Here is a 25,542-nt window from a genome sequence, read left to right as displayed (position 1 = left end):
GGGATGTTACCTTTAAAGCAAATGGAGTTTTTGTTTTTGTTTTTATTTTCTTATTTGTTTTTTAACCCTCACTCCTTTTATAGCTACTCAGTGGAAAACATTTTTTTCTTACCCTTGGATAAAAATGTTGACAAGCAATGTAAGTTTTTTCTTATCATAGAAAATAGAAAGTCTTACTTGTTTTTTACGGATTTTTGTTTTTTGTTTTGTTTTGTTTTAGAGACAGGGTCCCGGTCTTCACCCAGGATGGAGTGCAATGGCATAATCATAGTTCACGGCAACCTCAAATTCCTGGCCTCAAGCAATCCTGAACCTCCTGCCTCAGCCTCCTGAGTAGCTAGGGCTACAGGTGTAAGCCCTATCATGCCTGGCTAATTTTTTAACTTTTTTGTAGAGATCAGATCTCAGTATACTGCTTAGGCTAGTCTCAAACTCCTGGCCTGAAGCGATCCTCCCACCTTGGCCTCCCAAAGTGCTGGGATTACAAGCGTGAAGCACCACCCTGGGCCAAAAAGTCCTACTTAAAGTTATAAAACACACTTTCAATTTAGAAATAAATTAGTCAACACTTGCATCTTCATTCAAAAATAATACTCCTCTCTGCTATCTGAGCTAAAGCTGGCTACAAGTAGTCCTCAGGACATCTAGAGAGAAGCTTCATTGGCTTCGCTTCTCTTTCACACACTCATATCTTACTAGCTATTATTTTAATGCTGTCAAGGTCAAAACTAAAAGGAAAAGAAAATAAAACCAATGGTAATTTTTTTTTTTTTAATGAAGTTGCACTCTTGTCTCCCAGGCTGGAGTGCGGTGGCGTGATCTCGGCTCATTTCAACCTCCGTCTCCCGGGTTCGAGTGATTCTCGTGCCTCAGCCTTCGAGTAGCTGGGACTACAGGCACATGCCACCACACCTGGCTAATTTTGTATTTTTAGTAGAGCCTGAGTTTCACCATGTTGGCCAGGCTGGACCTCAAGTGATCCATTCTCCTCGGTCTCCCAAAGTGCTGGGATTACAGGTGTGAGCCACCATGCCCGGCCTAGTAAAATTCTTATTTATTCGATATTGTCATAAGATGTTTTCATATTTGCTAAGCTTAGTGGTTTGGGGGGCTTCTCTTGGACTTCTTTTGTGAGTTCATCAAAGTCTCCCAACAAACTACTGGTTTCTCACCAGAGGTTCTTTTGGTCTGGTGAATGTGCTCTATTTCTTTCTGCAGCCCAGAGGTTACCTCCAGTTCTCTTCTGTTGAGGCTTTACTGTGCCTGCAGACAGCCCTACTGGACATCATCTAAGAGGACCTTCTTACTGGCTCTCTCACATGCACACAGTGTACTTCTGGTCCACAGGACACACTCAGGTAGTCTTGCACAAGCAGATTTGTGAGAGTAGTATGGACCCTATATAAGAAACTGCAATTCTTTTTACTCTACCACCACAGAAACTCTCCCTTTTTCTGATCTTCAGGTTTCTCAAAGGGAGTCAGTCATCAGTGCACTCACTGTCCACCTCAGATCTCTCTGAAGGGAGCCATTATATCTCTGCTCAAACACCTGATGAGAGAGTGAATAAAATCTTAACACAGCTTTCTCTAAAGTGGTCCTCTTCACAAGTCTTATGATGAGAACCCCCATTTAACAGCACCTTCTATGTCATAAGATACTGTGTCCATACTACCTCTATATCACAATTTTCTGACATCAGAGAAAGAAAAAGAAAAGAAATTCTCAACAAACAAGGCTCTGACAACAAAAGCTGGCAGTTCTTGCAAAGACACCATTTGCCTCTTGCTTAAGACACTAAGCTAGCTCACCATTAGGGTATGTAAAAAGACATTTGCAATTTTAAGATGCCAAGAAGACTGTTATATATGCGTTCCTCTATTTCCTCTTTGGGCATGCAGATTAGTAGGAAAAAAAACAGTCTCAAATTTCACTTTTTAGGCTGTTATCTTTATGTCTATGTATTAGTCAGTTCTCACACTGCTATAAATACCTGAGACTGGGTAATTTATAAAGAAGGAGGTTTAATTATGTCATGGTTCTGCAGGTTCTACAGGAAGCATGGTGCTGGGCAGGCCTCAGGAAACTTACAGTCATGGCAGAAGGCAAAAGGGAACAACACTTCACATGGCTGAAGAAGGAGCAAGGGGGAGGTGCCATACACTCCTAAACGACCAGATCTCACGAGAAATCACTATGCAAAAACAGCACCAAGAGGGATGGTGTTAAGCCATGAGAAACTGTCCCTGTGATCCAATCACCTTCCACCAGGCCCCACCTCCAACAATAGGGATTACAATTCATTGTGAGATTTAGGCAGGAACACAGATCCAAACCATATCAGTCTATAATAACTTTTTTAATTCTTTAGTGAATTGTGTATTCTCATTGTCACCTGACCTGTTTTCCTTGATAGTCTGACAACTCACTTTGGAATTTAGCATCTGCGATTTTTCTGTCTCAGCCATAACTAGGAAGGAAAAATTCAATGTTAACATTGTATTATAGCAATAAACGAAGTTGTTCTATTGGATTCATTTATACAAAAACTTTCTCCTACCACCTCATATCCCTTTCTGGGATTTTTGTGTAGGAACCATAGCAACCTTATCTTTAGATTTTATATTCTCCAAAATATTGGGGTATAATTTTTGCTTCCAAACCATTAGAAAGGCAAATTTCTAATCCTTGCGTTTCACAAGGGAAATAGTAAATTGATTCTTTTATGTTTTTAATGTAAACTAAGGTCAAAAGAACAATACTACTGCAGAACTGAAGCCTCTCTCCTTTTAGTCTGAAACTTTAGCTGTCTATGCTATTTAGGCCAGAGAAAATGTACAAGGCTTTGTGTCCAGATCCCTACAAGTCATCTAACCAGGAGGTCACAAGTCCACCCCATCTTCCACTTCTGTTTTCAGGCCCTGAAGAGTATAGAGAAAATCCTGCTTTTCCTGGGGTTTTAAATGCTGGCAGAAGCAAGACTTATGGTAATAAGACCTAGATCAAAGGCCCATCCACCTGGTTCACAGGCCCATCGCCTGCCTCCACTCCTGCCTCTACCATGTCCATCAGGGTAACCCAGAAGTCCTACGAGGTGTCCACCTCTAGCCCCCCAGGACTTCAGCAGCCGCTCCTACACGAGTGGACCTGGTGCCTGCATCAGCTCCTCAAGCTTTTCCCCAGTGGTACCAGCAGCTTCCGGGGTAGCCTGGGTGGAGGTTATGGTGGGTCCAGCGGCATGGGAGGCATCACCACTGACACAGTCAACCAGAACCTGCTGAGTCCCCTTAACCTGGAGGTAGATCCCAACATCCAGGCCATGCGCACCCAGGAGAAGGAGCAGATCAAGACCCTCAACAGCTAGTTTGCCTCCTTCATAGACAAGGTACGGTTCCTGGAGCAGCATAACAAGATGCTGGAGACCAAGTGGAGCCTCCTGCAGCAGCAGAAGACAGCTCGGAGCAACATGGACAACATGTTCGAGAGCTACATCAACAACCTTAGGCGGCAACTGGACACTCTGGGCCAGGAGAAGCTGAAGCTTGGCAACATGCAAGGGCTGATGGAGAACTGCAAGAACAAGTATGAGGATGAGATCAATAAGTGTGCAGAGCTGGAGAATGAATTTGTCCTCATCAAGAAGGATGTGGATGAAGCTAACATGAACAAGGTAGAGCTGGAGTCTCTCCTGGAAGGGCTGACTGACGAGATCAACTTCCTCAGGCAGCTGTATGAAGAGGAGATCCCAGAGCTGCAGTCCCAGATTTCGGACACATCTGTGGTGCTGTCCATGGACAGCAGCCGCTCCCTGGACATGGACAACACTATCGCTGAGGTCAAGGCGCAGTACAAGGTGATCTCCAACCGCAGCCGGGCGGAGGCTGAGAGCATGCACCAGATCAAGTATGAGGAGCTGCAGATGCTGGCTGGGAAGCAGGAGGATGACCCGCAGCGCACAAGACTGAGATCTGCAAGATGAACTGGAACATCAGCCGGCTCCAGGCTGAGATTGAGGGCCTCAAAGGCCAGAGGGCTTCCCTGGAGGCCGCCATCGCAGATGCCGAGCAGCGTGGGGAGCTGGCCATTAAGGATGCCAACTCCAAGCTGTCCGAGCTGGAGGCCGCCCTGCAGCGGGCCAAGCAGAACATGCCGTGACAGCTGCATGGGTACCAGGAGCTGATGAAAGTCAAACTGGCCCTGGATATCGAGATCGCCACCTACAGGAAGCTGCTGGATGGCGAGGAGAGCCGGCTGGAGTCTGGGATGCAGAACATGAGTATCCATACAAAGACCACCAGTGTCTATGCAGGTGGTCTAAGCTCGGCCTATGGGGGCCTCACAAGCCCTGGCCTCAGCTATGGCCTGGGCTCCAGCTTTGGCTCTGGCGCGGCTCCAGCTCCTTCAGCCACACCAGCTCCACCAGGGCCGTGGTTGTGAAGAATATCGAGACCCACGAAGGGAAGCTGGTGTCCGAGTCCTCTGACGTCCTGCCCAAGTGAACAGCTGTGGCAGCCCCTCCCAGCCTGCCCCTCCTGCGGCTGCGGGAAAGCACAGGAGGGAGGCCACTGTGCAGGGTAGCACAGGGAACAGGGGACCCACCTGAGGCTCAGCCCTAGCCCTCAGCCCACCCACGGGGGAGTTTAGTGCCTGAGGACACCCCTTGCCCGTGCCTCCAGCTACAAAACAATTCAATTGCTTTTTTTTTTTTCCTGTCCTAAATAAATCCTCAGCTAACCCTGCCAAAAAAAAAAAAAAAAAAAAAAGTAATTACTTCACGCCTTAGGTGGTGAAAAACCAATTGGCATCTATTAAATGCATTTCAAACTCAAAAAGTATTTAAGATTAAGTAAAAGTAGACCTATTAAGATCAAGGAGTCATTATCTTTGCTCATTAAAGAGATATGTATCAGTCACAAAATCAGCAGGAAATAAACAAAATTCAGAATAATTTAAAGTGAGAGATGCCAGTGAAAAAATGAATTATAGAATAATGGACATGGCTTAGGAAACAAACAAGGTGTGTTAGTCCATTCTCACACTGCTATAAATAAATACCTGAGACTGGGTAACTTATAAAGAAAAGAGGTTTAACTGGCTCACAGTTTTGCAGGCTATGCAAGAAGTATAGCGACTTCTGCTTCTGGGGAGGCCTCAGGAAGCTTTCAATCATGGCAGAAGGCAAAGTGAGAACAATGCACTTCACACGGTTGGAGCAAAAGGAAGATGTGACCCATTGGGGATTACATTTCAACATGAGATTTGGGTCGGGACAGAGATCCAAACAGTATCACAAGGGATGCTGAGATGCCTGGAGACTGGTGATAGTGAGAAACCATTATGATTCCAGGGGCCAAAGCAGGAGGACGAAACATTGTCAAAGCAGAATGTCTCCTCCAACTCTACATTCTCCTTCTGGTGCCTTTGGTTTTGTGAACCCAACCCCAAGTCAGCTCACAAGAGAACCTGATGATGCAGTCCATTTTGGTCAACACCCTGAAGCATGAAGAAAAGCACAAAATAATAGACACTAGAACTGGATATTAAGATGACAGTGAAAATAATGAGCACAAGTTTCCAGTCAAAATATATCACCTAAAAATAGATATGCCATATTCTCTGTCTTTGGGAAAAAAATCCACTCATGAACAGACATGAGAGCAATTGGAAAGATGAGAGATAAGACAAAGAGTCCTTGAAAGCCAGTAAGCTCCAAAACAGCCATTGACTCAGACACAACTTGAAACTCTGTTGCTGGCCATTGCACAGGAGACCTGAAGTGGTGGAGGAGAGAGGGGGCATGTCCTAGGAGAAGTAGATATTTGGTAGAAAGGAGAGAAAACATCCCCAAGAAATACCCCAAAATTGTCAACTAGCATGCTTTCAGAAGATTGTATGTAATGATACTTGGTGAACTGTGAAAGCATTTAGCTGGCTGTAGTTATTAGTTACTGCTGTTATTAACAGCAGTCCAGGATGGAGTACCTAATAAAACCCCTATCATGACCATATTGAGCTTGCGTTACAAGCACCTTACTCCATTGTGGTGGCTATTGGCTTTCTCAGCTCCAAATCCACCATTCTATAGACTCTGCTTTTGATAAGAAGGCTGCAACTCATGAATCAGAATAATTGTTTGGTTCCCTGCTATGGTCCATTAATTGGGGGAGGCTAGGACACCGGAAGCTGCTGTAGGGACAAATATGTCTATCATGTTTGCTTGTTGTCCCTATCAGTGCCATCACAGCAATAGTTCTTTGCCCAGATGCATTGGTTCCAGTTTCTAGTTTTATTTTTTCCCACACTTCCAGCAATAATCTCATCATGCCCCTCAGAAGAAATAGAATCAACCATCAGTGGGCTGTATTCAGGGACCTAAGTCTCAACTCCACGAGAGGTCTTTCTGTGGTGTTCCTGAGGCATGAGCTATAGCGAGCGGGGAAGTCCCCTTTCCTGCAAGGTTGGCTCTTGGCCTCATGTTCTCCATCCTTTGAACTCCTAAGGTACCAGAACCAAAAGAGCAGCTCCCTCTCATTATAGGTCAGAATATAAGCTCTTGGGGGAACTCTCCACCAAAATCATAGTTTTTAATAAGCCCAAACTCTTCTCTTTGTTCCCAAGGTCATATAAGTAGAGGAAACTTCCTGTAGTTATTATCCCTGCATTATTCCTGTGTTCCTTTTTTTCCCTTTCAGTCCTCTAATACCTGTTTATCCAGTTCTTTGTACTAAATGCTTCCTGTGTTAGTCACTGGTGTGATTTCTATTTTTCAATCTAGACCCGAATAGCATATCCACTTCAACTTTCCTTGAGGATAAGGTCCAAGCATAGCATTATAAATCCCACCAGATTAAAATATTTCTGTATTTGCTTCTTGTTAACCTTGAGGCCTTACAGAAAATTAATTTATTTGAAGATGGTATTTCCCAAAAGCAGGAACACGCTTGTTTAGCAATAAGCATGACATTACTACTTCTGAAGAAACTATACAGATTGGAGTTGAATTAAGCATAGTTGTATTTCACAGAATGCTTATGCTCGACATCTTCCCTGAAGAGCTGGGAGAAAGTATGAATATTTGACCAAATACAGTTCGGTTACTGACAATGCAATAAAATATTTATTTATTATACTAGCTGTTAAATGTGGAGGTCAAGGAGGCCAGAGGCAAAGGAAAGTAAAAATATTTGGAACAATTGAGTAACCATGGACACGGCAAGCTGTCTATGGTAAATTTCGTTTATAAGATTCAGTAATTTGAAATTGTTAATGCACTTTTTATTCCCATTTGAGAGCAGCGTGATGTTACTTATCTCTTTAAGGGAGAAGTTTAAATAATAAGTAGACACTTTCTCTTTTTCTATTTTTTTAAAACAAAATAATACCGCATTTGCAAACTAAGCTGCACCATTAGTTAACAAAGTCTTTGAAAATGATTCATCTCAAATGTACAAATGTTCTTATTATCATCATGACTATCAAAGGAAAAGAATGGTATCCTTGAGAATCTTCAGCTCATATTAATCTCTCTGAGTTCACAGTCTTCTTACTTCAAACTAAGTTGTATTTTGGGAAACTTTAAATACAAGCCTGAGTCTAAACATATTAACCTCTCTGAATGGCATTTTACTCATCTATAAAATGACAAAGACTAGAAAAAATTGAAAGGTTCATCTAGTTCTTTGCCGTGCTACAATGGAGTACTTTTAGCACAGCCTAGCGTATCTGTTTGGTCTTCACACTGTAGATGATGGGGTTCATTACAGGAGGGATTAGTAGGTAGGCATTGGCAATCAAAGTATGCACATAGGGTGGGGCCTGCTTCCCAAACCTGTGAACAAAGGACAGAGTGATCAATGGAATGTAAAATACAGCAACAGCCCCAATATGGGAGATACATGTGCTGAAGGCTTTCTTCCTTTCTTCCGGGGAAGCAATGCTGAGAACAGTCTTAATGATCAAAATATAAGACAGGACAATAAAGACAGAATCTGCCCCAGCAGTGGTAATCAGGGCAGTCAGCCCAACTGCACTGTTGATCCTGGTGTCTGTGCATGAGAGCTTCATCACATCAGGGTAAAAGCAATAGGAGTGGTGGAGCACGTGGCTGCAGCAGTAGGACAGTCTTTTAAGAAGCAACACCATAGGAGTCAGTGTTATTGTTCCCCTGGTGATAATTGCTACTCAAATCTGTGCTATTTTAAGATCAGTTAAGACAGAAGCATATCTAAGAGGATTAGTAATGGCCACAAAACGATCAAAAGCCATGGCCAACAGCACTGAAGATTCCATGACAGTGAAGAGTTGAAGAAAGAACATCTGGGACAAGCGGGCATTAAAGCTGATTTCCCTCACATTGAAGCAGAATATACCCAGAATGGTGACCAGAGTGGATATGGACAGGCCGAGGTCAGTGGTGGACAGCATGGAGAGGAAATAATACATGGGTTCGTGGAGGCTGGGCTGAGTAACGATGGCAAAGAGGATCAGGCTGTTTCCTGAGAGGGCAGTTACATAGAGGAAGCAGAAGGGAATGGAGATCCAGGTGTGGAAGGCTTCCAGCCCAGGAACACCAGGGAGCAGGAAAATGATGGAAGTGGAGGTGATATTCTGCAAAGTTGACATATTGAACTCAAATGGCAGAATCTTAAGCTGAGTGTCTGGCAATGATAAACTGTATTTGTTTATTATGCATTTAATCTGAAATTATTTCACCAAGTAAACATTTATAAAAGATAATGTCTACCTTATATAGAAAGCCCATAAAGATTGGTTAATGGCAACAACAAATGAAGGCCACATCAAACAAAGGAGCAGAAAACAGGAAATGAATGGTTCCCTGAGGATACAGAATTTGCACAAAAACAAAGAGAGCAGCATTCCGTCTTATTTAAGTTCACATGTCTGATAAGTGACTTCAAGTGGTAGGTAGTCAGCAAATATTTGTTGAAGTGTGTTCAAAGGGTTGTATGATATTTTAGACAAAGAGTAATATATGCAGTGATTCTGATACAGTAATTGAATTACGCTAGCTTTTAGAGGCCCATCCAAAAAATCCTCTCTTTATCTCCTGCTATTTTCTTTCAATCAGAATCAGATCCAATATGTCTAATAAATAGCCAACATTTGTTGATCCCCTACTATCTGCAGTGTGATAATACCCTGGACAAGCATACAGTCTATTCGTGATATTAAAATTTAAACTGTCCCTAAGAAATTTTCATACCACATAGCGAGTGTGAGTTAGATATAAAAACATATACTTATGTATAAGCCAGAATTAGAATATATGGGGCCTCCAGTATGAAAGTATTATGGATAGTTTAATGTTATGAATTTTTATCCTGCATCCCAAGTCAACGTTTTTTACAGCTGCATGTTATAAATTTTAACTGGGTTAAAATACTCTTGACATTTACCAGCTGGGTTACCACATGATGAGTTACTAAACTGTATGTGCCTCATTTTCCCCATCTCTAAAGTAACAATGGTATGCATATCCACAGGACTGTTGTGAAGATTAACGTATGTGAAAATCTCAGCAGAGCATCTCACTGTGGTAAAAAACTTACCAAATGTTAGTTATTATCATTAAAGAGAAAAATTAAAGTTAAAAAAGTGTACACACATTGTTTTCCAAAATCTATCCCCAACCCCCACCATCATGTATCTACTTGTCTCTTTATCTGGTAGCTGAGAAAAAAAAAAAACAACATGGAAATATTCTAAATCTAATTTAGGTAATATCCACTGGTTAATATCTCTTTCTCATTTCATCTCTTCTTCCGCTACAACTATGTTTTTCTCATCCTTTCTTCATCTTTCCAAGTTAAAAAGAAGAGCTCTTACTCCTTTCCAGACAACCCCCATTACCTAGTCTCAATCTATCTTGGATGTTAGCTTTGTTTAACATCAAACATTACTGAGTGCAAGCCGCAATCCAGACTGTTGAGATACAGAGCCAAGTCAAGTATTGCACCTGCCCTGAGGATCATAAGGAAATAATAGGATAGTTCAGAAAACAAATGTGCAAACAAACAAATAATAAGACTGTATTTAAAATACAGAGGTATCTATATTAGAAAGTTGGAGGGGATGGAGTCAAACGGCTTCTCTGAGTAAGTAAAGAATTGTCGAGCAGAGGCTGATAAGTGAAAATCATCATGAAAGAAATTCTAAGCATATTCAAAGGCAATGGGGTTTCAGATATTTTAGAAATGCCACTAAAGTGTGAGATAAAACGTACCAAAAGGTAGTGTTTAAGAGGTAAGAAAGGGCTGGGAACGGTGGCTCATGCCTGTAATCCCAGCACTTTGGGAGGCCGAGGCAGGTGATCAACTGAGGTCAGGAGTTTGAGACCAGCCTGGCCAAAATGGTGAGACCCCATCTCTACTAAAAATACAAAACATTAGCCAGGCATGTTGGCACACACGTGTAATCCCAGCTACTTAGGAGGCTGAGGCAGGAGAATCGCTTGAACCTGGGAAGTGGAGGTTGCAATGAGCTGAGATCGCACCATTGCACTCCAGGCTGGGCAACAAGAGCGAAACTCCATCTCAAAAAAAAAAAAAAAAAAAAAAAAAAAAGAGGTAAGAGAGATCAAGTATGGAATTATCTTCTTTGCTTCAAAAGCATAAGAGATTTTTTCTATTCATACAATCTATATAAACATGCAATTTATCCCTCAATCTAAATATAATTAAAAACAACAAGAACAACGTTCTTCTTAGCCTGCATCCCTGCTGTGTGTATCTCCTTTCCTACACCAACAACTCATAAAATGATTTGTCTATCCTCATTTCCCTCCCTCATGATTCATACCTATATTTGAAATCTGGTTCTGTTTTTGATCAAAACATTCTTTGTTGCATTAGTTGTCTATAGCTGCATAAGAAATTACTAAAAATTCAGTGACTTTAAACAAGACACATATATTACCTCACAGTTCAGTAAGGCAGATGTCTGAGCACAGCAAAAGTAGGTGCACTACTCAGGATCTCGCACGGTTGAAATTAAAATTCCAGCCAGTACCATGTTCTTAATTGGAGAGGAACAATTGGAGATTGTTCTTAATTACAATCCTCACTCAGATTGCCGTAGGAATTTAGTTCCTTGTGGTATATGGTTGAGGTCTCCAATTTCTTGCTGGGCTTTTAGCTTCTAGAGGCTACCCTCAGTCCCAGTCATGTGTTCTTCTCACAATATGACATCTTAGGTCTTCAAATCCAGCAGTAGAACCTCCTTCGAGATTCTTCTCTCTTTTAAAGACTTCCGTGATTAGGTAAGCCCTAGCAGGATAGTCTTCCTTTTGATTAACTCAAAGTCAAGTAATCAGGGACCTTAGTTACATCTGTTAAATCCTTTTGCCATATAATGTAACGTAATCATGGGAGTGATATCCCATCACATTCACAGGCCCCACTCACACACCCAAGGCATGGGTATTGCTCAGGACAAGTACACCAGGATGGGCAGAAATCTTTAGAGCCCTTTTAGAATTCTACCAACCCCATCTGTCATGGCTATCCAGTCTCCAAATCTTTATAGGTTCAACTTCTGAAATGTCTCTTGATTGACCATATTTATCTTCCAGTTTTATTAGTGACCTTCCTCCCTACCCTCAGAAATCTTTTTATATACTCCACCTGGGCTTTTCCCTACTTCACCAAACTACCAAATATAGCAAGTTCTTTCACACTAATGTGCTTGCTTAATTCATGTAGTTCTCTCTTTTTTGAATAAGACAAAAAATTTTAGATCCACTATTTGATCCACCGAACTACGTATAAATTAAACATGAATTTATTTCAGGAAGCATTTGGTGGCATCACCTACTCTAAGTCAAGTCAGAAGAACTTACTTCTTCCTCTGGAGTTATATTCTTTTTTTTTTTTTTACAGGAAAAAAAGACTTTATTTGATAACAGCTTGATGAAACGATATTCTTTTATATTTATGCATCTAAAATAGTGTTTATTCCATTGTACGATCAAATACACCTCTCTAACAAAATTAAGTTACTGGAAGGTAGTTCATTGTTTTTTCATCGTTATATTCCCAATACCTTGAAATATATTTTGAGAAGTATGGGCATACAATATATACATGTTGATGTGAATTCAATCCAAGAGTTGTTAACTGACCAAGATTCTGAACACATCTCAGGACCTCAACACATTCAATTTTGTCTATTTAAAACATGCTGTGTTGCCTAAAATTATATATGTGGCTTCTGGAAGAATCGCACAGAGCTCTCCAGTGTTCTCACAAACTGAGTAATGTGTGTGTGTGTGTGTGTGTGTGTGTGTGTGTGTGTGAGAGAGAGAGAGAGAGAGAGATTTGGGGTTTTACTGATGGAAGACTCTGTCCTAGTATTGGAGGGTTAACTTTTATGTGCCCTCCCATTTGTTGACAGTAATTATCTTCCTATTATACCAAGATAACACTCCAGGCCCATTGTAAGAATGTGTTTCAAGTTATTTCCTGGGCTACCTTGACTTATCTCTCTTCTCTGATTACAGAGTAAGTGATATTGTTATACCGTCATACAAACCTAGGTTCAAATTTGGTCTCTGCCACCTAGAGCTAGCCGGAGTTCTCCAAATAAGCACTTTACATCAGATTCCACTAAGGTGAAACTGGTAGTTCACCAATGGCACTACTTTGTAAGGATTAAACAAGATAACATTGCAAAGCATATAATATGCTGACCAGTGTGTGGGACGTGGAAGTCACGTGATATTGGTAAATGAAGATGAGGATGAGGATAAGAATGGCAGTGGCAGTGTGTGTGACGGTGGTAGTGGCTGTTGACTTTAGGACCTTCAGTGGCAGTTATAAAATGTGACACAACTAACCAGGAAACTTAAAATTGCATGGACACATTAACAACCTGCTCTAAGCAGCAAAACAAATGGCTCATAGACCAATCAAACCTCCTCAGAATAGAATGTTCCTAGAAAATACAGATTTCAGAAAATAGATTTCCACAATTTTCCTTAGGCACCCACAAGAGCTTTCTGCAGCTAATAAAGTCCCCCTCATTCTTAAAAGAAACCAGGGCGTGTAAAGTGTAATGTTTTTCGTAAATGCAGCAGTTTTACTTACAAAGTATAAGGATGTGTTCTTTCCTGCCTGTTTTCCAGAAAGGAGCCTGAGGAGCTGGGGATGTATTCTACCCAGAAATAAGTAGCATATATCTGAAGCCATATCTCAGGATGCCTGAAAGCTCTTAATAAGCTCCTGGTGGTGATTTCTGCAGCCCCCAGAGTATGAAGCTTCCCAAGGGCTCATTCTACTTCATGGCTTTCTTCTCCTTCTACTTCATGTTCTTTTATAGTTTCCATGAAGGGACTGCTGTTACAGGTCTTTGATCTTATGTGTTGTTAAAATTTTCTTAAAAGTAAATTTGTGAGTAACCACACCCTCCCAAAAAAACCCACCAGATCGCCCCTCATCTTCACACCACTCCCACACCCAACTGATAAACTTATCTTCCTCCTATATTATTTAGGTGAATTTTATATATTTTTAGAAACCCCTCTGCTTGTGCTTCACTCTATGCCCCCCAAAAATCTTCATTTATTCTTTCATGGAACATTTGAAGTATCTTTCATATTCTAGGACTTTGTACTGGTAATACAGAGAATAAAACAGAGTCTTTTCCCTCCAGAGCTCCTTGGAGGGAACCACCTGTGGAAACAGACATAAAACTCAGTGTTTACAATGAGGGATATTTACGATGACAGTACAGAAGAGTTGTGTTTATCCTGAAGGAAACTCAGAACCAGGTCTGTCAGGAGACAATGGAGCACAGAGTGTAGGAAGAACAGAAGGTGACTAATAACAGACTCAGCTCACTTGGAACCCTGGGTGCCAGTGTGGGGGAGAGATGAAGCTAAATAGGGAGACAGGATCTATGTTAGGCATGAAGATCTTTTATGCATCCTAAGTCATTTGAATCTAAATAACATAATACAAATAACACAGCATGGAACTTAGTCTTTCCTCTTCCCTAGAAAAATGCATTTTTACAGCTCCACGTGAAGCAGCTGAGGAAGTCAGGCACCTAATTTGAGAATCCCTAATATATTGCAGTTTTCTGCTTGGTTTCAATATCAACCTGAATGGTACAAACATCACATTTTCCCCCTAAACTCTGATATATCCGTTTATAGAAATGTCAATTTAGAAGACATTCTCAAACAGAACCTCAACACCCTATCGCCTACTCTTTCAAAGTCTACTTCAGATTAACCAGACTACTATTTTCAGCATTAGTTCTCACAGTTTTAAACAACCATTGTTTCAGATGGACTATAAATAAAAGCAAAATGTATAGACCATAGTATTGGATGTTGTTGAATTCAGAGTGTAACATAGATAGTAGGGAAAAATAAGAGATATAAGCTGTAAGATTAAAAGAAAAAAAAACTTAGAAATAAGAAAAAATATAAAGTATTACTTTATAAAGAGAGAAAATAAATATACTTCAAAGTGGATTTTATTAAGGTACGTATAACTATACTATACAAGATTATCTGTAATTGACACTTCATAAATTACATTATTAAAGCATGAATCAAAATTGTTACTTTCACAATAACATTCTTAGTACATCTATTTTAAGATACACCCAAAAATGTGGTTGCTCCAACTTCAAAATTATTTTTGAAAACTTTTCCTATCCATATGAAATTTAAATAACTTATGTTTATGCTTTCATTGCTTAGAAATGAGTGCATATTATATTTTCTCTATTAAACAGTAAATTTCTAGGAGCTATATTTTTCTTATTAAGTCAAGTATTTCCTGGGCTGGTTGTTTTTCCATTGGTTCAGGCTTCTACTGGGAGAAAGAGAGACCGCCATCTATGACTACTCTTAGCATGTGGTATAATGTTTTGTACACAGTTTGTAAGTAAAAACTGATTAAAATATTGTTTGAATTTAGATATGTTTAGTCAGATTTAAACACCTTAAGAATGAAGGCTGTGCCTTCCCCATTCACTGTTTTATCCCTAGTACCTCCCTTCCACAGTGTTTGCCAAAATGAAGATGCTCAAAATATGTCAGTATATATGTGAAGTTATATAAAAATAAATTTAATTCAATAAGCATACATTAAGTAGCTATTATTAATAAAGCACTGCACTTGTATCTGTGCGAGATACATCAATTCCCAAAGTCCAATGCCCATTTTCAAAAAGTTTCAGATCAGTAGGGGAAGAGAAATCTGACTCCCTGTAAGACAAAGATTTATTAACAGCACCTGAAAGAATAATAAATGGAACAATCAGGAAAAGAAAGAGGTGGGTATGTCAGTCAGAGAGAGCAAAATAATCACAGACTTAGAGGCAATATATTCCTGGTGTTTTTCAGAAATATATATAATTCATCAAAGTGGATAGACCCCAGAAAAGTGTTACTCTTTCATACATGATAATCCGTAAATGTCTTGTTAAAATGCAAATTTGTGGGTTCCATTTCAAGGGCTTCTGTTTAAGTAGCTCTGGAGCGGAATTGAGGAATCTGCACTTTAAACGGAAGTGTCAAGTGGTTTGGATGCACAGATGCTGGACCACATTGAGAAAAGTGATAGATGCAAGTAGAAAGTGGATGTCATCTTATGAGTGTATTCAGTGGGTTGCATGAGGCCAGATCTGTGAAGACCCACTGGAATGAAGATCTTATGTAAGATGAAGAACTAAAAAAGTTTTGTTTTGTGGGAAGGTATTAAGTGGAAATTACTTCATTATCCAAAAAGAAAAAGAAACCCTCATTATTGAACATTTATAAAATGCAAGAAAGTGTAAAGAATATGTCAGCAAAACAATATCCAGCTATCAAATATAAGCTGTTGTAATGTTTGGGATATGTCTATTTATACTTTTTAATGTGCATTTACACATATTCACATGAAATATATACACAAGTAAGTACTTTGTATACTAACCTATATTTTTTAACAAAATGTAATTTATATTTGTATCAGTATTTAACTTGTTGCATTGTATTTTATGTTTTATTAGGTCAGTACCCTAAAGTAATTATTTAAGCAGTTTCCACATGTTCATTGCAATGTATAATGAATGATGTGTTGAACATCACAATATATCTTTACATTCTTGCCCATTTTTCTTCTTTAGACATATATTTAGACAATGGACCCCCAGATCTTCTACTATTAAAATACAAATGCATTTACCAAGGTGACCTCAAGTACTCTTTTAAGAATTAGGAAAGTAGTCCTTTTATTAATACTTCTTGCTTATTGTGCTTATTCATATTCTTCAGCCATTTACAATCTGTCTGGTGGAATAATGAATCATCACAAATAAACTGTAAGAATTACTAAAACCTAGACTTTGCCTACTGATCTACGTTACATGAGATCTACTTTGGATAGCTACATGCTCTAGAGGTGGTGAGACTCCTAAACTCCAAGTATGACTTTACTTGTGCATGCTTTCAGACATATTTTAACTGTGGTCCTATACTGTGCTAGGTTCAGTATTCATGAAAGGATCAGAAGTACCGACATAATCTCTGCCCTTAAATAACTCACCATTTAGAACTGTGTAAATGGTAAGTTAGTGGATCATCAGAATAGAAAGAAAGCATGTTGAAACCAGCTGTTTCAATAAACAACAGTAACTCACAGTACTGAATGATCAAACATGGGTCAGGGAAGACTTGGTAAAGAAGGAGTACACTCAAACTTCCCTAAATTAGCTTAGAAAGAAATGCTTTGAGCACAGCCTTGCGAATTTACTTGGTCTTTACACTGTAGATTATGGGATTCATTACAGGAGGGATAAGCAGATAAACATTGGCAATGAGCATGTGCACAAGGGGAGGGGCATGCTTTCCAAATCTGTGCACTGGTGACAAACTGATCATGGGGATGTAGAAGATGGCAACTGCACTGATGTGAGAGACACAGGTACCAAAAGCCTTTTTCTGCTCCTCTGGGGAGGCAATGCAGAGCACAGAGCGGACGATCAGAACATAGGAGATGAGGATCAAGACAGAGTCTAAGCCAGCAGTAGAGATAACAATGGCCAGGCCAAATGCACTGTTGATCCATGTGTCTGTGCATGAGAGCTTCATCGCATCAGGGTGGAAGCAGTAGGAATGGTGGAGCACATGACTACGGCAGAAGGAGAGGCGCTTAAGGAGCAGGAGTAGAGGCACTAGAGCTGTTGTTCCCCTAAGAACAATTGCAAAGCCCACTTTAATAATCCGTGAATTGGTTAAGATTGTGGCATATCTCAGTGGGTTACAGACGGCAATAAAGCGGTCAAAGGCCATTGCCAAAAGTACTGAGGACTCCATGAATGTGAAGCCATGGATAAAGAACATTTGGCCAATGCAGGCATCAAAACTGATTTCTCGAGCATTGAACCAGAAAATACCCAGCATGGTGGTCAATGTAGAAAGACACAGACCTAGGTCCATGAAGGATAGCATGGAGAGAAAATGATACATGGGTTCATGGAGGCTTGACTCAGTGATGATGACAAACAGGATCATGCCATTCCCAGAGATAGCAATGACATAGAGACAACAGAATGGGATGGAGGTCCAGATCTGACGGGTTTCAAGGCCAGGGATGCCAGTAAGGAAGAAGACTGCAGGGTGGAAAATACTCTGGTTGAAGGATGGCATGATGAGCGAAGAAGCAGATGTCTTTGAGGAAAAGAACTATGTCCTGTAATAATGGAGAAGAAAAGCATTTTCACTTTCTTCTATACACCATACAATTTGTGATCACTAGAGAACCACATCCTATTCTTCAATGAAAATGCATAGCCACTTACTGTTTTCTTATATGTGTTCTTGAATGAACTAGGAGAGGACACAGACACTAAATTGTGTAAAGAAACCTGGTTTTTAGCAAGATTCCCATTATATTACATCTAGGCTTCAGGATACTTATATATACATATATAAAACAGGAGATTAGTTTCAATAATAGAAAATGTTTCCCATTTCTATGACTGTATGTACACGGGCAGATGGGATATTTCCGGACAGCCATAAGAAACACAACAGGAAATTCACCCTGCTTTTCTTCACTTCTCAGTTTCTGCGGCAAAAACCCTAAGGTGCATTAAAGTTTATAAGTCCATGTGACCCAATGAAAGTAAGAGAATAAGATAATATTAAACATTTTCTAGTAAAATACTCCTGATCAAATGAATACACAATAGCTGTTGAGTGAAAAAAATAAATAAATAAAACTAAGTACCAGGAAAGAAACAATTAAATCTAAATGGACCACAGTGGGTGACAGTAGAAAAAAGGTTTGTTTATACATGTAATAATTGAGAAGTTGATTATGTTCAAAGGATATTCTGCCTGAAAAAAGATGGCTTAAATAACCTTAACAAGAACAAAGGAATTCATTGGAAAGTCATGGATAATAACTGGAGTATTTACCTGAGCAAGTTTCTTGATTTTCCATTTCTGCAAAAGGGCATTGAGAATAGATTGGCTGGGGGAAGGAGGTTTTCTCTGGAGATCTAAGTGTATGCTCACCCAGATCCATAAATCTGTAGGATTGAAAATGTTTCTGTATATTGCTTCTTGTCTTAAGTTTTCTGACACTGTTTTTATCTATAGAAAGAATGTTTGGTTTTTAACATATTTATGTTCCCCTTTTACTTACTCATGCATGTATTTACTCAAAAAAATTAAATACCTACAGTGTTAGTGTGTGCATTAGAATTAGACTTGCTACTTTAAGAAGGTCTGACCCTGAGAAAGAAAATATTTGAGTATAGGTTAACTTAGTTATCTTCATTGCAACCCCCCGAATGAAAAGACAGGAGCTTAGACATCAGTAAGAATAACTGGTTACAGGAAGTGTGTTCAAGAGGGCATTTCTCTAGGTATTTGAGAAGAAGGAAAAATGTTCAATACAGGAAGCCTCTTTGAGTTCTCACACACACGCAAAGAAAGATAGTGGCTGGAAATTTTGAATTGAGAGGCAATGCAAGACAAAACAAAAGCTATGGATCTTCGAGTCAAGCCTTGGATCTCAGTTGGAAGATAAGCTTCACTTTTTCACCTGTGACTTTACATACGAGAATCGGGACATGTACCTACTTCTGCATCCTAGGGAAAATGACTCCTGCCCTGATAATAGGGCTTGAGAGTTGTGAAACTAATGTCTATGGTTGAAGTCACAGGATCAGTGAAAAATATCTTAGAGTAATAAATCTAAGGGAAATGAAGTCTGAGGACAGAGTGCTGGGGAACAGCAGTATTTAAAGAAAAGACCAGAAGAAGCGTCCTCTAATGAAACTGAGGAGACATGGCCACTAAGGCAAAAATGACTCCCAGGAAAATATAAGGACCATTTTTTCTCAGACCTACGATCTCAGAGCCAGAAAAAATGGCTAGCACAACAGCATCTAAAAGTATCTATTAAATGAATGAATGAACTGCTTCTGAAAATAGTGATAAACCCCAGTGCTTAATATTTCCACATATGTGTGATTCCCGATATGTGGCCCCCTCAAATTATAAGTTAAATTCATGCAATCATAAAAACATATTTCAACATAGGAGGAAAACAAGCAGTTTTCTCAATAATCTGATATTTATCTTTGAGACAAGGACTTTGCTCAGATTTGGACCTAGTGATAAAAACATTTATTTTCCCAGTTGAAGTGGAGAGCAAGTAATGACCTCAAGGTCATACACTCTTTATTTTAAAAATGAGGAAGCAGCCTCTCAATTTAATGTTCTTTTTATTATAGTAAATAAACCCAATTTGCAAACCAAATACCTGATTAGGGGTTAATATTCAAAATATATAAAGAACTCCTACAACTCAGTAGCAAAAACACAAATAACTCAATTTAAAAAGGGACAAAGGACTTGAATAGAGATTTCTCCAAACAAAACATACAAATGGCCAACAAATATAAAAAGATGCTCAACATTACTAATCACATAAATGTGAATCAAAATCATCAAAATCACAGTGAGATATAACCTCATAGCTATGAAAATACTTATTATAAAAAACAATAGCAAGTGTTGACAAGAATGAGAAGAAATTGGACCTATTGTACACAGTTGGAGAGAATGTAAAATCATGCAACCACTGTGAAAAACAGCACATCCACTCTGAGTATATATCCAAAGGAAAGGAAATCAGTTAGTCAAAGAGGTATCTGCACTTCCATATTCATTGCAGAATTAGTCACAATAGCCAACATATGGAAACAACCTAAATGTCCATCAACAAATGAATGCATAAAGAAAGCACAAGACATACATGTAATAGAATACTATTCAACCTTAAAAGCAGTAATATTCTGACACATGCTACAACATGGATGAACCTGAAATGAAATACTTCATGATTCCACTTATATGTGAAGTATCTCTTAGCCAAACTCATAGAAACAGAAACTAGAATGGTGATTGCAACAGACTAGGGAGAGGGAAAAATGGGGGAGATGCTGTTAAACAGGTATAAAGTTTCAGTTACTAAAGAAGAATTAGTTCCAGAGATCTGATATACAACATTTTACTTATAGTTAACAATACTGTATTGTGCTATTAAAAGTTAGAGTAAATCTCATGTTAAGTGTTCTTTTCTTTCTTTCTTTCTTTCTGTCTTTTTTTTTTTTTTTTTTTTTTGAGATAGGGTCTTGCTCTGTTGCCCAGGCTGGAGTGCAGTGGCGCAATCACTGCTCACTGTAGCCTCAAACTTCCAGGCTCCAGTGATCCTCCTGCCTCAGCTCGCCAAGTAAAGAACCTGTAAAGTAGCTGAGACTACAGGCACACACCATCATGCCTGGATAATTTTTTTTTATTTTTTGTAGAGATGGGGTTTCACCATGTTGCCCAGGCTGGTCTTGAACTATTGAACTCAAGGAATACACCTGCCTTGGCCTCCAAAGTGCTGGGATTACAAGTGTGATTTTATCACAATAAAAATAAATAGAATAGCTATATTGTAAACAGCAAAAATAAAAATAAAACATAAAAGAAAAACCCAACAGATTAAGTACTTGGCTATATTTCTCTCTAATAAAATTAGTGGTAATGTATTTAATGCCTTCTACGTGCCAAACAATTTACTTCACTGAATCTGAGTCCCCCTTTCCACTGTACATAGCTCATAGAATCTTTCTTCAACTCCTGCAATCAAAGGGAAACGTAATAGGATTCTTGTAACAGAGGGAACTCTATTAGCAAACATGGGTCCAAGAACAGCTCCCCCCACCACCACCACCACCACCCGCCCCCACCATCCCTGCTCCTGGAGCTGGAGTGCAATGGCACAATCACCTACTCCTCCCAGGTTCAAGCAATTCCCTTGCCTCAGCCTCCCGAGTAGCTAGGACTACAGGTACATGCCACCACACCCAGCTAATTTTTTGTATTTTAGTAGAGATGGGGTTTCACCATGTTGGCCAGGATGGTCTCGATCTCCTGACCTCGTGATCTGCCCACTTCAGCCTCCCAAAGTGCTGGGATTACAGGCGTGAGCCACTGCTCCCGGCCAATAATAGCTTTTTAAAAAAAATTCTGTGATTCTTAAACCAGTCTTGAGTTGTCCTGCGCTAAAACTAATGAGCAAATATTAAACTCTTCTTAAACAGTTCTCTTTAAGTGTCTCTTTCTCCCCCACTGAGAATTCTTCCATGACAGAGCCTATAACTTAAACATCCCTATTACCAGACTACCAGGAACATCTAAATAGACAGCCCTCACAACAAAGCTTCACATTCATTACTATCACAACACCATTATTGGGTATTAATAACTCCCCTTTATGGGTGAGAAAGCAGGGTAAGATTAGATAATCGAGTCTCAGAGGAAACATACGACGTTCTCAAATTCACCCAACAAGCCAATGGCAGATTCAGGAATTGAGCTCTGTTCTTACTCCAAACGCCATGCTCTCGCAAACTCCTTATTTAAATTTTTTTTTCTTTTTTTACTGTGGCATGAACAAACACATGCTGATGACTGTAGTCTATATTTGGAATAACTATTTTGAACGCTACAACGATATTTTTGAGTTGACATAACGTATGAAAATACACTACTGAGTTCATGCTCACATTTACTCTGAATACTTCCGCGTTTGTTTCATATACTATCTGAAGGTTATACAGTACCTAATTTATTTATAACTGTCTTCAATGCACTACAACACTGACCTTGTGCACAGAATTCTTGGGTCTGGAAGGTGAGGTTATTTGATCCTGCCCCCTGCTATTTGAAGGATCATCCCACACAGCAGAGAATCTATTAATGCAAAGCAAGTGAGAGAGAGTTATCTCAACCTCACTAACTTACTTGCAGAAAGGTTCTGTACTACTATAGCTGCGGAATCAGCCCCTGATCAGCCCTGCCCCTGGACAAAGAGGTCCTCTTCTGCCAGGAGAAAACATAGGGAAAAAATTCAGGAATAGGAGAACTACCAGATTTGAGAAAAACAGCCTTTATAAGGAGCCTAGAAGTCACCTGGTGAGAGTCATTTACCCAGCAGAAAAGCAAATTCCTAGGGGAGAACTCCCTACAGCTGTGTCCTGTTAACCCTTTGTGCTCCAAATAACAAATTGTAAAAGGCAACATATTTTCAGTCTATCTTCACTCTTTCTTCCCCAAAAGATAATTCTATAGATGAACTGCAATTTCAATTCTCATTCAAGAGCAATTTGAGCCCTAAACAGCTGTAGGACAACTTTGCATAGAGCCAGAGTAAGGAAGAAGTGTTGTTGTTAACGGATCATTAACAGCTGAGTTTGCTCAGCTGCCATTTGCCGGTTTCACAGCAATCACGAGACACGGAACCCAAATAGGAAAGGGGTTGCTGAGTTACTACATTCACTGAAGGTAGTGCAGTGGTTTTCTGATTGAGGGCCCAGGCCCTCCCCTGAATTTCCTGGGAGCTGTTGCTAACCTGTGCATAGTCACAGAAAATGACAACTTAAGAGGAAGTGACTAAAGGAAGACTACAAAACTTTATGAGTCCCTTGTGTGTCCCTTGCTAGCTTACAGAGATACTAGTCTGCTCTGTCCTAAAACTGCTACCAGCATGTTTACCACTGTGGTGGAGAATTAACCATGTTTGACAGACAGCTTCTATTTAAGCTGTGGACACTCATAAATGGCTTTCAGCTTTGTCATTAATACAGCGTTTCACAATTAATGGTGAGCTTGGAAGCTTGGTAAATTTCAAGGACAACTATTTAAACATGTTTCTTGGCATAAGAGGCTGTATCAAGAGGCCATTACCTTACAAAGTCCTGCTGTATGGAAGAAGGGGACGAGTTAACTATTCCCGTTAGAGTTGCTACAGAGCAGAAAATTTAATTATCCTGTTTAATTTTTTTCTTCTTCTCATGTCACAAGATTCTAGATCCCTAGGAAAATCTGGAAAGATGCATTTTTTCCCAGAAGTTCATAAAGAACCTGAGAAAATATGCTCTCTTTTTAGGTATTTTCTGGACTAATAGAAGCATAATCTTCCCCCATAAATACCTCAATGGGTTAGGGGGGAAATCTTAACAGTCCCAGATAAATGTGCCACATAATGTATGAGACTCCGTGGGAAAAAATGCACAATTTAAATAGAAGCTTTCAAGATACAGAAGCAAAAACAGACGTCCAGGCTGTTACAGGGAAATAAATGTGAAAATCTTACTATCCATGCTAGGAATTCCAGTCTGAGGGGCACTGGTTCATGCTCACAGACACAAGTGCAGGCTGATCTTCTACACACAGCTGCAGAAAATGGAACACAGAAGAGCTTCGGACTCTTTTTTAGTGCACACTCCAGACATTTAAACCATTCACCAGCCAAGGCTTAACAATCAGTGGATACAAGAAGGGCATAATGATCAATGCTCATTTTGACTGGTTGTCTATTCTAATTGTACTGTCCCAGGACTTAAGTATGTTACACACTTGCCTACATCTACCTGTCCATTAAGAGTCAACATAGCATTGGTTCAACTGAAAGTATTTGGAACCAGACAACCTTGGTCCAACCAGACAACCAGACAACCTTGGTCCAAAGCTCAGCTCTGTCACCAATCGTGTGACCTTAGACTACATCACCTCTGTTTTTTGCTTTTAATGTGGAGAAAATCGTTATACTGCTTTATAAGTCTATGTTGTAAAATAAGATAACCCAGTATTGATCCATAAAAAGGTCTTAGCACATTTGCACTCACTCAAAATGTGTTATTAATCATTGTAATAATTTATTTTTATTATTTATCATGATTACTATTGTTCTCATTAATATAGCAATTTTATTAAATTATCATTTAGTGCCTAGTATGTGTCAGATACTATGTTCCAATGTTGAGATGAGAAGGTGTAGTATCTACTCTCAAGGAACTCATATATCAGACAGATAGATAGACAACCATTATAACACAAATCTGGTCAGGACATTATCCTGCTTTCAATTCTTTGGCTTCCCAGGTCCTCAGAAATCTGGCCTTGCGACTGCTTTAGGTGGAGAAACATTTATTTCTACTCTCTCCCCTTCAGTCATACAGAGCTCATTTTCAGTTTCCTAAACATGGCATGGTTTGGCTCAGGTCTGAGCCTTCTCTCATTCTATTCTCTGAGGCAGTATTATGATGTTTACTGATTCCTAAACTCTGTTTCAAATATAATTCAAAACAGTTTTATTTTTTATTTATATTAAAATTAAAATAACTTTTTATCCTACATTTTCTGATTGCAGATTGTGGATAAATTAATGGAAGCTTAATTATGTGGGGGTTTTTTATCCTTTTTTAATTTTTCTTTTTAGTTTCCCTACTTTGCAGTGCCCTAATTTGGTCCTCAGTCCGCCAAGCAGATGAAACACCACAGCAGCTGACCATGCCTGGAACATTTCCTTAACCTTCTGTCATCTCCTCACCCTACTCTACTCTCCTGCCCTCATTACTAGCTCCCCTGTCAAAACCCTTTTCACTCACTCGGATCTCATATTATCAATTACATTTGGTTAGCCTCCCTTGATCACACAGGCTAACTTGTCCCAGCACCTAGGTGATCTATACCAGCACTTCACAAATATGAATGGCACATTAATGCGCTAGGTATCTTGCAAAAGCGCAGGTTCTAATTCAGAAGATCTAATTTTCTTTTCATTTCCAACAAGTTTCCAGGCGATGCTAACATTATTGGTCCTTCAATAGCAAAGATCTCTGTGAATACCACTTGTAGAGTAATTATAATACAGTATTTTAATTTCCCATTTACTTATTTGTATCCCCCATTAGACTTCGAACTGTGTAATATTTGGGTTGATATCTATCGTGTTCACTGTTATACCCTCAGGATCTTGTTCAATACCAGATATATGTAGAGTATCTATACAATATTTCTCTTAATAAATCAATTAAGAACTTTAATGAAAGCATGTGCAACAAGATATAGTGGGAGCAGAGAAGAATGGAATAAATAGGAATATTAGGAATAGCTAGAAGTTCACAGGGAGAGGTAAGGAGGAGTGACATTTCTATATACACCAAAATTGAATGGTC

The 25,542-nt window shown here is 39.5% G+C and overlaps 1 protein-coding gene and 3 pseudogenes across 2 annotated transcripts in view; 1 reads left to right on the top strand and 3 right to left on the bottom strand.

Moving 5' to 3' along the window:
* Nucleotides 1-22,450, bottom strand: part of MMP26 (matrix metallopeptidase 26) — a 287,646-nt gene extending 265,196 nt beyond the window's left edge. For both annotated transcript variants that reach the window (NM_021801.5, NM_001384608.1), the window contains exon 1: nucleotides 22,189-22,450. The gene's annotated coding sequence lies outside the window, so the exon portion shown is untranslated. The remainder of the gene's footprint in view (nucleotides 1-22,188) is intronic.
* On the top strand, nucleotides 2,993-4,743 carry KRT8P49 (keratin 8 pseudogene 49; annotated as a pseudogene).
* Nucleotides 7,675-8,622, bottom strand: OR51C4P (olfactory receptor family 51 subfamily C member 4 pseudogene; annotated as a pseudogene).
* Nucleotides 16,724-17,665, bottom strand: OR51F5P (olfactory receptor family 51 subfamily F member 5 pseudogene; annotated as a pseudogene).
* Nucleotides 22,451-25,542: the final 3,092 nt, after the last annotated feature.

This window comes from Homo sapiens, chromosome 11 (assembly GCF_000001405.40).
Source record: "Homo sapiens chromosome 11, GRCh38.p14 Primary Assembly".
Taxonomy (NCBI): Eukaryota; Metazoa; Chordata; class Mammalia; order Primates; family Hominidae; genus Homo; species Homo sapiens.
The sequence above is the reverse complement of the archived record's forward strand: the minus strand, read 5'-3'. Positions and strand labels throughout refer to the sequence as shown.